At 37.8% G+C, this 15,990-nt stretch overlaps 1 protein-coding gene across 4 annotated transcripts in view; it reads left to right on the top strand.

The window, feature by feature from the left end:
* FCHSD2 (FCH and double SH3 domains 2) overlaps positions 1 to 15,990 on the top strand; it is a 305,574-nt gene that overhangs the window by 43,616 nt on the left and 245,968 nt on the right. For all 4 annotated transcript variants that reach the window (NM_014824.3, XM_011545409.2, XM_011545410.3 and 1 more), the window contains one exon: positions 14,963 to 15,008. In NM_014824.3, the coding sequence (NP_055639.2) occupies positions 14,963 to 15,008 (46 nt within the window). The remainder of the gene's footprint in view (positions 1 to 14,962; positions 15,009 to 15,990) is intronic.

Here is a 15,990-nt window from a genome sequence, read left to right as displayed (position 1 = left end):
TCTTGGCACCATTTGTTGAAGAGACTATTCTTTCTCAGTTTAGTGCTCTTGGCACCCTTGTTGAAAATCAGCTGATCATAGATGTTTGTTTTTTTTTTCCTGGACTATCAATTCTATTCCAACTAACCATACTGTAAACAAACTAGACCCAACAGGTGTATATAGAACACTCCACCCAATGAAGTAGAGTGTATATTTTTCTCAAGTACACATAAAACATTTTCCAGGATAGATCATATGTTAGATTATAAGCAATTATCAGTTAATTTTAAAAGATCAAAATCATATAAAGTATTTTCTTTACCCATAGAGGAATGAAGCTAGAAATCAATTAATAGAAGGGGACAGAAAATATGCAAATATGTAGAAATTAAACATATTCTTAAACAACGAGTAGATCAAAGAAGTCACTAGGGAGATTAGAAAATACTTTGAGACAAATGAGAACAAAAATATACAATACCAAAACTTACGCTGTGAAACTAGTATTCAGGGAAAACTTAACAGTTGTAAATGCCTGTGTTAAAAAAGAAGAAAGATTTCAAGTTAACAACCTAGCTTTATACCCTAAGAATTAGGAAAAGAGCATGCTAAACCCAAAAGGAAAAATAATAAAGGTTAGATCAGAGAAAAATGATATAGAATAGAAAAATGATGAAGAGAATCAATGAAACTAAAGTTGGTACTTTGAAAAGATAACTTATTGGCAAACCTTAGATTAGAAGAAGAGCTGGGCACCATGGGCTATGCAAGTCTAGTCCTAGCCAGTTGGAGGCCGAGGCAGGAGGATCGCTTGAGCCCAGGAGTTTAAGCCCAACTGGGATAACATAGCAAGACTCTGTCTCTAAAATAGATAGACAGAGTAAATATGTACAAACAGAAAATACAGTGGGGATACTACTACCTTACAGAAACTAAAAGGATTATGATAACATGAATAATAATTCTTCAAAAATTAGATAATTCAGGTGAAATAGATAAATCTTAGAAACACACAAATTACTAAAACTGATTACAGAAAAAAATAGAAATTCTCAATAACAAGTGAAGGGATTGAATCAGTAATTAGAAAAAAAAAAAAAAAAAAGAACACCTCACAAGAAATAATAGGACTAGACGGTTCCACTAGTGAATTCTACCAAACAGTTAATGATGAATTAACACCAATCCTACTAAAACTATTCCAAAAAAACAGAAGAAAAGGGAATGTTTCTAACATATTCTGAGGCCGTCTTTACCCTTATACAAAAATCAAACAGATACCAGAAGAAAACTATAGACTACTATTTCTTGTGAAGAGAGATGCAAAAAAAAAAAATAAATAAATAAAATAAACCAAACAAACAAACCTAGGAAACTGAATCCAACAGCAAATCATTAAAAGGATTATCCACCACGACCAAGTGGGATTACACGCCTGCAATCCCAGGGAGCCACTTGGGAGGTTGAGGCAGGTGGATAGCTTGAGCTCAGAAGTTTAAGACCAGCCTGGGCAGCATGGTGAAACCCCATCTCTACGAAAAAATACAAAAATCAGCCAGGCCTGGTGGTGCATACCTGTAGTTCTAGCTATTTGGGAGGCTGAGGTGGGAGGATTGCTTGAGCCTGGGAGGTCGAGGCTGCAGTGAGCTGAGATTGTGCCACTATACTCCAGCTTGGATGACCAGAGTGAGACCCTGTCTCATCAAAAAAAAAAAAAAAAAAAAAAAAAAAAATCCATCAATGAAATACATCACATTAGTAAGAGGAAGGACAGAACCACATGATTATCTCAGTAGAGGCAGAAAAAGCATTTCACATAATTTAACACTCTTTCATGATAAAAAGACTCAGAAAACTAGGAATGGAAGGAAATTTCCTTTTTTTTTTTTGTTTTGAGACAAGGTCTCATGCTGTCCCCCAAGCCAGAGTGTAGTGACACGGTCTAGGCTGGGGAAACATGGAAACGTCCTTAACATGTTAAAGGGCACATATGACAAGCTCACAGTAACATCGTACTCAGTGGTGAAAGACTGAACACTTTCCCTATAAGTTCAGGAAGAACACAAGGATGCACCTTTTTACCATTGCTATTCTCTTGTGTTTGACATTCTATAATTCTATCTGGAAGTGGTATATGCTTTCTTTCATCCTGTCCTGTCCTTTCCTTTCCTTTCCTTTCCTTTGCTCTGCCACCCAGGCTGGAGTGCAGCAGCACAATCTCGGCTCACTGCAACCTCTGCCTCCTGTGTTCAGGTGATTCTCCTGCCTCAGCCTTACCGGTAGCTGGAATTACAGGCGCCCGCCACCACATCTGGCTAATTTTTTTTTTTTTTTTTTTTTTTTGTAGAGGCAGGGTTTCAACATGTTGGCCAGGCTGGTCTCGAACTCCTGACCTCAAGTGATCCACCTGCCTTGGCCTCCCTAAGTGCTGGGATTACAGACGTGAGCCACTGTTCCCTGCCTGCTTTCTTTTTTAAATACAAGAAGTTTAAAAATTCATTTTAAATATTTGGTTACATATTATCTCTTTCATGACAGCATTTTTTTGCTCATGGGTGTCCTTCTGCTACCATGTTTTTCCTGTTCTGTTTCTTCTTCTCTTAAAAATTTTACGTCTGTTTAGATACCTCGTTCCTTCTTCCTTTATGGTGGTTTATTTTTGAATGAGAAGGTTTTTTTGTTTTGTTTTGTTTTTTGTTTTTTTCTATAGCACTTTAGGATATTAGATGTTGGTAGCTCAGGGTTGTGTCTTTCAAATTTACAGCAATTTTGTTTGTGAGCAGGTTTTGTGCATAACTTTTTTTTTTTTTAATCCTCAGCCAGTCAGTGAAGATTGCTGCTGCAGGGCTGTTCATAGTGTAGGCTCTCTCACTATCTTTTTGCCACACCAGCAACTCAGTTTCTGCCAGCGTGGCTTGTTTGTGTGATTCCTTATTTAGTTCTGTCTCCTCTACTTCTTCAAACTATGAACAGGAAAGCTTCCTCTGCCAGCCCATGTTCCCTGCTTTTGTTGTTGCAAATGCAGAATTTAAGTTTACTACCTCAGGAAGTATGCTTGTACAAAGGTACTCCCGCTTTGAGTTTTGGAGCCTTATGCCTTACCTTTCTCCTCTTATTCCAAGTTGTCTCTCCTTATAGCATATCATTCCCTTATATGTCCATACATATGTTTCCTAGTTTTATTGGAGATCATATTTCCAGTTATGTTTCTTACTCTCTTTGTTTCTTTTGGGTGATTTCTGACTGGAGGAGAGGGGAGAGTCTGACTTTGTTATTTAAGATGAGAAGTAGTTAAGATGTATTTTTCGTTAGTGTTTTGCACATTCATTTACTGAAAATGTTAAAACTGAATTAGATTTCATATTTATAAGCTGTGGAATGTGATATTGTCACTTATTTAGCAAATACTTTAATACATTTGCTGTGTGCCAAGTTTATCCCAAGTCCTTTATAAATATGTACTTAATTAATCCTCATAATACCTATGAGGTAGGTTTTCTTTTTATTCTTATTTTATTGATAGGAAACTGAAGCACAGTCAGGAAAGTTAACTCGCTCAAGGTCACCTAATTAATAAGAAATAAGAACACTTCTAATTTTCATTCTATGACTATAGCATTTGTGGGCCTTGGCATCATCTGTTTATACTGTATTCAAATGAATCCCTTGAGAGCAGGGTCTGTGTTTCATTCATCTTTATATTCTCATTGCATATTTAGTAGAATTCCTGAAATCCAGAAGATATTCAATGGATGTTAGAGAATTAATATTTTTTATTAGGAGCCAAATAATTTGCTTTCTGCCAGACTTACAACATAGCTTCAGTTGTTCGTTCCGCTTGCCTCGTTAAAAAATATTTTTGTTTGTATTCTCAGGTCATCATTTTAGTGCTATTGCAGTATTTACTGTAATAATACCTTTACAAACAGCCACTGTATTCCAGAACAAAATTAAGATATTTCTTTATTAAACAATTATCAATTTGCTGATAATAAAAGCACTAGTTCCCTTACACAAGTTTGCTGCCCATGCTATAAATATTTTTATATACTAATATGAGGTATATTTAAGCAGTGTCATTTATAAAATAACAGGGGTCAAGTATCGTAGCAAAAATGAAGTGGTCATCTTGTTCATTTGTTTTTGTTACTGAGCTTTACTCCATTTAAGAATAAATATGTTACTGTTTATCCATGATCCCATTGATGGACAACTGGACTGTTTTTGGCTATTTATGACTAAAGATGGTATAAATATTTTTGTAAAAGTGTTTTTGTGGACACGTTTTCATTTTTCTTGGTATATAACTAGTATTGGAATTGTTATATCAAAATAAATGTAAGTTTAATTATGTAAGACCAGACTTTTCCCCAAGTGGTTGTACCATTTTACATTCCCACCAATGGCATGTTAGAGTTCCATTGCCCTTTATCCTCATTGCTATAGTTCAGTCTAATTTTTACCATTCTGGTAGATTTGTTTATCTTTATTCTTTTTTTTTGGTGCAGGGAGACAAGAGTCTTGCTCTGTAGCCCAGGCTGGAGTGCATTGGCGTGGTCTTGGCTCATTGTAACCTCTGCCTCCCGGGTTCAAGTGATTCTCTTGCCTCAGCCTCCCGGGTAGCTGGGATTACAGATGTGCGCCACCACACCTGGCTAAGTTTTGTATTTTTAGTAGAGACGGGGTTTTACCATGTTGGCCAGGCTGGGCTTGAACTCCTGACCTCAAGTTGTCCGCCTGACTCGGCCTTCCAAAGTATTGGGATTACAGGCATGAGCCACCACACCCAGTCCTATCTTTATTCTTAACATTCATCAGCTGGATGTGGTGGCTCACGCCTGTAATCCCAACACTTTGGGAGGCCGAGGTGGGCAGATCACCTGAGGTCGGGAGTTCGAGATCAGCCTGACCAACGTGGAAGAACCCTGTCTCTACTAAAAATACAAAAAAAATTAGCTCGGCATGGTGGTGCATGCCTGTAATCCCAGCTACTTGGGAGGCTGAGGCAGGAGAATCGCTTGAACCCGGGAGGCGGAGGTTGTGGTGAGCCAAGACCGCGTCATTGCACTCCAGCCTGGGCAACAAGAGCGAAACTCGGTCTCAAAAAAAAAAGAAATCATCAATACCCCATCCTCACTACCACCATTGGTAATTTGAACATTCTTAGGGATTTTGCTTATCTTGGTGATGAATTTAAATGGGTGCATTACAGCTCTTCTAAGACAGCTCTCAATTCTGACACCAGCTGTAAGTTCGAGAATCCCTAATACCTCCTTCACTTTGACACCAACTTCAAGGTTGGAGGTCTCCAAGACCACCTTTACTTCTGACACGACTTGCAATTTTGTGGGTCCCAAGACCACCTTAGATTCAATAATTTGCCAGGACTCTCAGAGCTCACTGAAAGTTTACTCAGTAAGGTTATGATTTATTATAGCTAAAGAGTAGAGTTTAAAATCAGCCAAGGGAAGAGGTGTACAGGGCAGGGTCTAAGAGAGTTCCAGTCAGAGCTTCCCATTGTCCTCTGTGGAACTGTACAGTGTTCACTTCTTCTGCAATGATGTGTGACAGTATGCACAGAGTCTTGCCAATTAGGAAAGCCTACCTGAGTCTTGGTATGCAGTTTTTATTGCGGTTCAGTCACTTAGACATGATTACTACTCATGCGGCTGGCCTTAGCCTCCAGCCTCTCCAGAGGTTGAGATGATACTGAGTGACCCAAGGCTCATCATCCCACCCACCCCTGATGAAATCACATTGTTAGCATAGACTATTTGGTGTGGCACAAGGTCCCCAGGTAGACAGAAACACTTGTGTCAGGCAAGATATTCCAAGGGCTTAGAGATTACCTCCCAGAAGCCAAAGACAAAGGTAAGACCTGTCTTTGGGTAGGGTTAATCCTTTACTGTATACTCCGATGCCCTCCTTGATTTGATATACACAAAATGCTTGTTTTAACTGATATAATGTGACCAAAGTCAAGAAACTTGATTGGTCCATGTGGATGTAGATTGTGATCTTGGTTCTGTGTGTCTCAGGAGCTAACCTACTGAGCTATTAATCAAATTTATGAAGAGTCTGAAAACTGATTATGTAGTTTTTGTCTATTGTTTCAGTCATTCATTCAGCAAACATTTTTTGAACTTTTTACAATGTTCAGTCACTGTGCCAAACATATAAATACTAAGATACAGAGTATACTTAAATGCTCTCAAGGAGCTCCATAGTCAATTCATAGACAGTCACAATACTTAAAGCAGATGCTATGTTAGAAGATGCCGGGCCAGGTATGGTGGCTTGTGCCTGTAATCCCAGCACTTTGGGAGGCTGAGGTGGAAGAATCACTGGAAGCCAGGAGTTTGAGATCAGCCTCAGCAACATAGCAAGACCCCATCTCTACAAAAAAAAAAACAAAAACTTAAAAAATTAGCCGGGTGTGGTGGTGTACACCTATAGTCCCAGCTACTTGGGAGGCTAAGGAGGGAGGATGACTTCATCTCATGAGTTAGAGACTGCTGTGAGCTATGATCGCACCAATGTACTCCAGCCTTAGTGATGGAGCAAGACCCTACCTCTAAAAAAGAAGATGCTGGAGGATCTCAGAGGAGGTGTATCTGAATCACAAGAGGAATTCAGGAAGGCTTCTCAGATGAGATCATACTTTCAGCTAGGTTTTGTTTTTTTTTGAGAGTGAGTCTCATTCTGTCGCCCAGGCTGGAGTGCAGTGGCACAATTTCAGCTCACTGCAACCTCTGTCTCCCCGGTACAAACAATTCTCCTGCCTCAGCCTCCTGAGTAGCTGGGATTACAGGTGCACGCTACCAGCTAATTTTTTGTATTTTTAGTAGAGATGGGGTTTCACCATGTTGGCCAGGCTAGTCACGAACTTCTGACCTCAAGTCATCCACCTGCCTCGGCCTCCCAAAGTACTGGGATTACAGGCATGAGCCACCACGCCCAGCATCAGCTAGGTTTTAAAGAATGAGGAAGAGTTAGGCCAAATAACGGGAGGAAATTCCAAGTGGAAAAGACCACATTTGCTAGAACATGAAAGCATGAGCCTACTGGTCCTTTTAAGAAACTTAGCTGGGGCATAACATGTGAATGTGGTTTGACATTCTATAATTCTGTCTGGAAGTGATATTTGCTTTCTTTTCTTTTTTCTTTTTTTTGAGATGGAGTCTCACTCTGTGGCCCAGGCTGGAGTGCAGTGGCATGATCTCGGCTCACTGCAACCTCTGCCTCCCGGGTTCAAGTGATTCTCCTGCCTCAGCCTCCCATGTAGCTGGGATTACAGGCACCCACCACCACACCTGGCTAATTTTTTTTGTTGTTTGTATTTTTAGTAGAGATGGGGTTTCACCATGTTGGCCAGGCTGGTCTCGAACTCCTGACCTCAAGTGATCTGCCCGCCTTGGCCTCCCAAAGTGCTGAGATTACAGGCGTGAGCCACCATGCCTGGTCTAAAACGTGTCTTTACATACAGATTTATACATGAATGTGGATAGCAGCATTATCCATAATACTCAGGATGTGGAAACCCAAATGTCTATCAATAAATGAATGAATAAACAAATTGTGGTATACTCATAGAATGGAACATTATTCAGCCATAAAAACAAATGAAGTATTGATACATACTACAACTTGGATAAACCTTACAAATGTATGCTAAGTGCAAGAAGTCAGACACAAAAGGTCACATATAATTTTTTTCATATGAAATATCCAGAATAGGCAAATTTGTAGAGACAAAAAATTAGATTAGTAGTTGACAGGGGAGGAGAAGAAAGGGGAATGAAGCGTGATTACTTAATGGGTCTGGAGTGTTCTGGGGTGATGAAAAAGTTTGAAATTAGAGGTGGTGGTGGTTGTACAACATTTGTGAATGCACTAAATGTCACTGAATTGTTTACTTTAAAACAGTTGATTGTATATTATGTGAATTTCATCTCAATAAAAACATGCATTATATATATGCACATAGTTTACATTCAAATAGTACAAACAGGAATGTAGTAAAAGGTCTTTCTTCTACTAATACTGCCAGTTTCTCCATGTGGAGCCCTTGTTAGGCTAGTCTCATGTAATATTTTAGGGAGTTCTGTCACAGTGATTTCTAAGGGAACCAGAGTAGGCATTTTTGCACAGGACAGTTTTTGACGTGAGGAAATGCTGTAATTAAGAAGTATTGTAGGCCGCGCGCGGTGGCTCACGCCTGTAATCCCAGCACTTTGGGAGGCCGAGGCGGGCGGATCACGAGGTCAGCAGATCGAGACCATCCCGGCTAAAACGGTGAAACCCCGTCTCTACTAAAAATACAAAAAATTAGCTGGGCGTAGTGGCGGGCGTCTGTAGTCCCAGCTACTTGGGAGGCTGAGGCAGGAGAATGGCGTGAACCCGGAAGGTGGAGCTTGCAGTGAGCCGAGATCCCGCCACTGCACTCCAGCCTGGGCGACAGAGCGAGACTCCGTCTCAAAAAAAAAAAAAAAAAAAAAAAAGAAGTATTGTAATTACCATAAATATATATTTGTAAACATTTTTATATGAAAAGATGGTTTACATTATTCTGTACATTTTTTGTTTACTTAACATTAGATCTTCCTATCAAGTTATCCCAACACAATTTACTGATAATTCATCTTTTTTCCCTGAGAATTTTCAGTTACTAAATTTGTAGATATATTTAGGTATATTCCTGATTACTAACTTTTGTTTTATTATCTCTGTCTACTTATGTTCCATTACCAAGCTATTTTAATTACTGTTACTTTAAAATTAATTTTTAACATCTGGTAAGGGTAGGCTTTTTAAAAAAATATTACTCTTTCTCGGAATTTTTATGGCTATTTTTACATGTTCATTTTTCTGTATGAAAATGCTTATCTAGTTAAATAAAAATACTGTACTTTTGGATTAATGGCAAAGTTTTTCTCAATCTCCCAGGCCTTGGCAACCACTAATTTACTTTTTGTCTCTCTGGACTTGCTTATTCTAGACACTTTGTATAAATGAAATTCTAAAATATATGGCCTTTTGCATCCGTTTTCTTTCACTTAGCGTAATGTTATTGAGGTTCATCCATATTGTAGCATGTATCAGTACTTCATTCTTTCTTATGGCTGAATAACATTCCATTATATAAATATACCACATCTTGTTTATACATTCATCAGTTGATGGACATGTGGGTTGTTTGTACTGTTTGGATATTATGAATAATGCTGCTGTGAACATTCATTTACCAGTTTTTGTGTGGACATGTGTTTTAAGTTTTCATGGATATACACCTAGGAATAGAATTGTTGGATCATATGCTAATGATGTGTTTAACCAGTTTGGGAATTCCCAGATTGTTTTCCACAGAACCTGCACCATTTACTTTTCCACTAACGCTATGAGAGTTCTGATTTCTTCACATACTTACCAATACTTGTTACTGTCTGTTTTATTATAGCATCCATTAATATCATTTAAAAGTTTTATGAGACATTGATTCAGAATTTTAGCAAATGCCTTTTCATCTTACATGGAGATTATCAGGTTTCTTCTGCTGTGCTCTCTTGATATATATATGATACATTATAATGAATAGATTTCCAAATATTTATTATGTGAATTTTGAGTAGTTGTTATCCCAGATTTGTCTTTTGCTTTAAAACAGGAAATTAGTTGGTAGACAAGTAACTTTTTACTAACAACTAAAAATGCCACTGAGAATATTTAAATTAGTTGATATGCACATCAAGGGTACAAAAGCTATTCCTTTTTCTTGTGGACTTCACGTGAATGTCCTTATTTTAAAATGAGTTATGTATAAACTTAAAAGGGTAAAAAATACATAATTTAAATATTTCCTTTTATCTTTTGTGAAATATAAAAAAATCCAACCTTCTACAAAATATATAGATAGGCTTTTTAGAGGTTTTTAAATGGTGAAAGTGTGAACTAGTTCATTTTAGTTAGTCTCTTTTGCTTGGGTATTTGTAGTGGGTAGGGAGATAACATTTGGTAGTGCTGGTCATAATAATTTCTTAGTCCAATTTTAGAAAAACAACATGAGTGTAAAAAAAGTGTGTGTACATGTTTATGAATGTGCATTTTTTTTAAAAAGGACTTTTTTTTCAAACATTATATGTTTACTAAAACACCAGAAATTATGGAAAGCAAAAGAAGAAAGTAAAGGAAGCCTATAATACCATGACCCAGAGAAAACTTTCATTACTATTTTAGTACACACACACAAACGCACACACACACACGTATGTATACAATCATGCATTGCTTAATGATGGGGATACATTCTAAGAAGTGCATTGTTAGGCAATTTCGTCATTGTGTGAACATCATGGAGTACACTTACACAAACCATAGCCTACTACACACCTAAGCTATATGATATAGCCTATTGCTCCTAGGCTACAAACCTGTACAACATGTTACTGTACTGAATACTGTAGGCAGTTGTAACATGATGGTATTTATATATCAAAACATATCTAAATGTAGGAAAGATACAACAAAAATATGGTATGAAAGATTAAAAAATGGGCTGGGCAGTGTGGCTCATGTCTGTAATCCTAGCACTGGGAGGGCAAGGCAGAAGGATTGCTTGAGGCCAGGAGTTCAGGACCAGCCTAGGGAACATAGCAAGGAATGGAACAACAACAATAATTAGCCACATGTGGTGGCATGTGCCTGTAGTCCTAGCTATTTAAGAGGCTGAGGTGAGAGGATCACTTGAGTACAGGAATTGAAAGTTGAGAGTAAGCTATGATTGCATCACTGCACTCCAGCTTGGGAGACAGACGGAAAAAGATGAAAAATGGTATTACTGTGTAGGGCACTTGCCATGAATGGAGCTTAGGAGACTGGAAGTTGCTCTGGGTGAGTCAGTGAGTGCCATGTGAATGTAAAGGCCTAGGAAACTAATGTATACTGCTGTAGGCTGTTTATTTATTACACTATACACTTAGGCTGCACTAAATTTATTTTAAAAATTTTTTTTTTTTTTTTGAGACAAAGCCTCGCTCTGTTGCCCAGGCTGGAGTGCAGTGGTGTGATCTCGGCCCACTGCAACCTCTGCCTCCCGGGTTCAAGCAATTCTCCTGCCTCAGCCTTCCGAGTAGCTGGGACTACAGGCACACGCCACCATGCCTGGCTAATTTTTGTATGTTTAGTAGAGATGGGGTTTCACCATGTTGGCAGACTGGTCTCAAACTCCTGACCTCAAGTGATCCACCTGCCTTGGCCTCCCAAAATGCTGGGATTACAGGGTGAGCCACCACACCTGGCCCAAAAACTTTTCTTTCTTCAGTAATAAATAAATTAACCTTAGCTCACTGTAACTTTTTTACTTTATAAACTTGTAAATTAAAAAAAAAACTTTTTTGACTTTTGAAATAGCATTTAGCTTAAAACACATATTGTACAACTGTATAAAAATATTTTCTTTATATCTTTATAAGCTTTTGACTATTTTTACAAATTTTTATTTTTTTGTACTTTTAAAATTTTTTTGTCAAAAACAAAGACACACATACATTAACCTAGGCCTACACACTGTCAGAATCATCAATATTATTGTCTTCTGCCTTCACCTCTTGTCCCATAGGAGGTCTTCAGGGGCAGTAACATGCATGGAGCTGTCATCTCCTATGATACAATGCCTTTTTCTGGTATACCTCCTGAAGGAACTGCCTGAGGCTGTTTTACAGTTAGCTGTAGGACCTCATATAATTGGAATCATACAATATTTGTGTGTTTTTGATTGACTTATTTCACCTTGCATAATATTCTTAAGGTTCATCCATATTGTAGCATATATCAGATTTGTCTTCCTTTTTAAAGCTGAATAATATTTCATTGTATATACCACATTGTATTTATCTATTCATTTCTGGGACACTTGGATTAATTTCCTGTTTTCATTTAATTTATCTAATTTGCTGGTGTACAGTTGCTTATAATACTCTGTACAGTCTTTTTACTTCTATAGAACAGTAGTAGTGTTCACCACTTTCATTTCTGATTTTGGTAATTAGTGTTTTCCCTTTTTTCCTAAGTCCACCTAAGTCCTAGGTAAAGTTTGTCAATTTTGTTGATCTTTCTGAAGAACCAACTTTTGGTTTCATTGATTTTCTGTGTTATTTTTCTACTGTCTTTGTTTATCTCTTTTCTAATCTTTATTATTAATATTTCCTTCTTTCTGCTAACTTTGGGTTTAATTTGTTCTTTTTCTAGTTCCTTAAGTTGTAAAGTTAGGCTGTTGATTTGAGATTGATCTTTTGTTTTTTGTTTGTTTGTTTGTTTTGAGATGGAGTCTCACTCTCTTTCCCAGGCTGGAGTGCAGTGGTCCTATCTTGGTTCACTGCTACCCCCACCTCTGGGTTCAAGCAATTCTCCTGCCTCAGCCTCCCGAGTAGCTGGGACCACAGGCACGCACCACCACGCCCAGCTAATTTTTGTATTTTTAGTAGAGACGGAGTTTTGCCATGTTGGCCAGGCCTGTCTTAAACTCCTGGCCTCAAGTGATCCACCCACCTCTATCTCTCAAAAGTGCTGGGATTACAGGCGTGAGCCACTGAGCCCAGCCTCATCTTGTAAAATAATGTAAGTATTTGAAGCTATAAATTTCCCCCGTAGCACTGCTTTCTTTTCATATTTACATTTTGCCCGCACATAGTTTTCTTTAGTTTTACCATTTTGCCCTTTAATTCTTTGAACATCTTTAAAACCATTGTTTTAGTATCTTTGTTTAGTAGATCTGCCATCAATTCTTTTTCAGGGACAATTTGTATTGGCTTGTTTTCCCCTTTGAATGGGCCATACTTCTCCCCTTCTTAGCATGCCTTGTGATTTTTGTTGAAAACTGGAGATTTGAATGTAATAATGTGGTAACTCTGCTCTCATTTTTTTTTAAACATCAACTTGAACCAGAATACCAGATTTGTGGTAACTCTGCTAATCAGATTCCCCTCCTTGCCCAGGGATTTTTTTTTTTAATAGTTAAAAAGTTTTTAAATGTTGTAGGTAGTCTGTACTGAGCTGTGCCTGAAGTGTTAAAATCAGGTCTTCTGAAGTCTTTTGTGAACCTGCACCTTCCCGTGGGTTTGTGTGGTGACTTTTCAATTTCTCCCTTAAATGTGGTTGCGTTAGAATGTCTTACTCTTCAAGATCTGGCTCTCAAAAGGGGAAAAAGAGAAAAATTAAGGGAGAAGGAAGAGGCATCAGTTCTTTAAATCCTCCGAAAGTCATTTCAGTCAGGAGAGGAACTTGCATCAATGTTGAGGGAAGTGCAACAACAGTGGTCATCCCCTCTCTTTCAGTTGACTCCTAGTTCCAAAATGGTTACATGATTCATTCTGCCAGTGCAATTGTTACCTAGCCTGGGAGTCAGATTCCTGGTGTTTACTAAGCTGCCATCTCCCAGAATCCTCTCTCATTGCTTAACCTTGAATGCACTGGAGACTTTTTTTGAATAAACATTTAAAAAAAAATCTTAGTCTTCGTTTTATTGTATTGGCCATTTGAAGCACTCTTGAATAAGCATGAGTCTTTAGGTTTAAGGTGAAACTTCTTCCGTTTGTTATTTTGAAATTAAGAAATTATTTACTCAAAACAAATATAGTAAGATCTTAAACAGTTATATTTTTATATAAGAAATCAAGTCATTTGGTGAATTTAAATGATTTTTAAGATGAGAATTTTGGTTTCTTGACTTTTTCTTTATTTCAGTGCTTTCCTTTTTTTTTTTTTTTCCTCCTTCTTACTCTTATGTCTTTGGTCTTTGCACTGGTGCAGTGATTTTAAGAGCACCGATTCCTGGCACATAACGGTAAAGTCTTTAAACTCAGGATATTCAAGGTAAATTGTCAGTAGTACCACATTTTGTTGACTCTACAATGCCTATGTTTGTAAGGTACACTGTTATTTTATATACCATTAAGATGGAGGAAAATACTGCCAATCATCATTAAAAGATGCATTCCAGTATCATAAATGTTAATACAGGTGAAGGATGTACTGGCTAAGCACGTTGGCCCATGCCAGTAATCCCAATGCTTTGGGAGGCCAAGGCAGGAGGATTGCTTTGAGGCCAGGAGTTCGAGACCAGTCTGGGAAACATATCAAGACTCCATCTCTACAAGAAGTATTTAAAAATTAACCAGATGTGGTGGTGTGCACCTGTAGTCCCAGCTACTTAGGAGGCTGAGGTGGGAAGATCTCTTGAGCCCAGGAATTAAAGGCTGCAGTGGGCTAGGACCTCACCGCCGCACTCAAGCCTAGGCAACAGAACAAGACCCTATCTCTAAAAAAAGAAAAAAGAAAAGAAAAGGGTATACCTTAGAATCTTTGAAATATAATACATGTATGGAAAGTGTGCTCTCATCATACCACAATTTGTAGTGGCCTTGTACATTGTTTTGTAATGCTTATAAAAAACTGGAGTGAAGGAAACATTTTGAGCATTTTTCATATTCAGAAGCCAATCAAAATTTGATTTTCACATTGTTTTCATTAGTTCCCTCTTACATTGGTTAAGTCCAGTAAACATCTTTAGTGCCTAATATATAGTAGCTATTCTTATAACAGTAGCCAACATTTATATAGGTTTTACTGTGTGGTAGGCACTATTTTGAGTGCTTTATGTATTTCAAGTAACTAAATTTTATAATATCCCTATGAGGTGAGTACTGTTATTATCCCCATTTTAGCAAGGAGGAAACTGAGGAAGAGAGAAGTCAAATGACTTGGCCAAGGTCATACAGCTAGTAAGTGGTACAGCTGGGGTTTGAATGTAGATCCTCTGACTGTAGAGACCAGGCTGTTAGCAGTATTCCTAAGCACATAAAGATGAATAAAATATTGTCCTTTCCCTCACATATCTTAACCAGGCAGTATTTGAAGGTGTGTTGATAGATTTACATTAAATTATTAAGTTATCCTTCTGGTAATTAATTTTTCTTTGTATTTTTAGGACATTCAGTCAGAAGAAGGCTGCTATTGAAAGAGAGTATGCACAGGTAAGCTTGAAATTGGAGGTCCCATTCTAGGTATACTTCTTTTCCGTGGCTTAAGGACAGAGATGGTTTTTGGAGAGAAGCCATATTATCCCTATGCCTTCCTTTTCTTGTTATTTCTTTCTTGTTTTTTTTTTTTTCTTTTTTTCTGAGATGGAGTCTCGCTTTGTTGCGAGGCTGGAGTACAGTGGCGCAATCTTGGCTCACTGCAACCTCCGCCTCTCAGGTTCAAGCGATTCTCCTGTGTCAGCCTCCTGAGTAGCTGGGACTACAGGTGTGTGCCACCACACCCAGCTAATTTTTGTATTTTTAGTAGAGACAGGGTTTCACCATGTTGGCCGGGATGGTCTCGATCTCTTGACCTTATGATCCGTCCGCCTTGGCCTCCCAAAGTGTTGGGATTACAGGCATGAGCCACTGTGCCCAGCCCTTTTCTTGTTATTTCTGTCTCATTTTGATCCCCCACTTTGCTGCCTTTGAATCATTATAAAGAAGGTTGTAAACCTGGAGGAGACATTATTTACTATATTTGTAAAGTATTTACAAGTATGAATAATAATACTTTTTACAAGTTTGTTGATTTATTCTTCTTTATATGCCCCATTCTCTGCAGTTTATGAAAGGTTAATTTTTCATCACGCATTTAGTTCTCATTATGACTGTGTTGATAAAGAGTAATAATGCTTTTAGTGGATGACATGGAGCTTTTCCTAGGGAAATTGAAGCATTTCCTTCTTTAATTTTACTTAGACCTTTAGTGGAGTCCAGATTACAAAATGTGACAAGAAAAAATTATGTTGATGTATCATTTTATGGTTGTATAAGAATTAATAACTATTCTTTCATGTACAAAGATAATTTGATACAGTTTGAAAATTTTGACCCTTTAAGCAATTACTTTATATGTGGGGGAGTATTCTAAAATTGTTATTTCCTTCTGCAAATTGTAAAAGTTGTCTTTGTAGCAAAAATTTTAAAATATGGG

The sequence above is a fragment of the Homo sapiens genome, chromosome 11 (assembly GCF_000001405.40).
Source record: "Homo sapiens chromosome 11, GRCh38.p14 Primary Assembly".
Lineage (NCBI taxonomy): Eukaryota > Metazoa > Chordata > Mammalia > Primates > Hominidae > Homo > Homo sapiens.
This window is presented reverse-complemented; position numbering and strand designations above follow the sequence as displayed.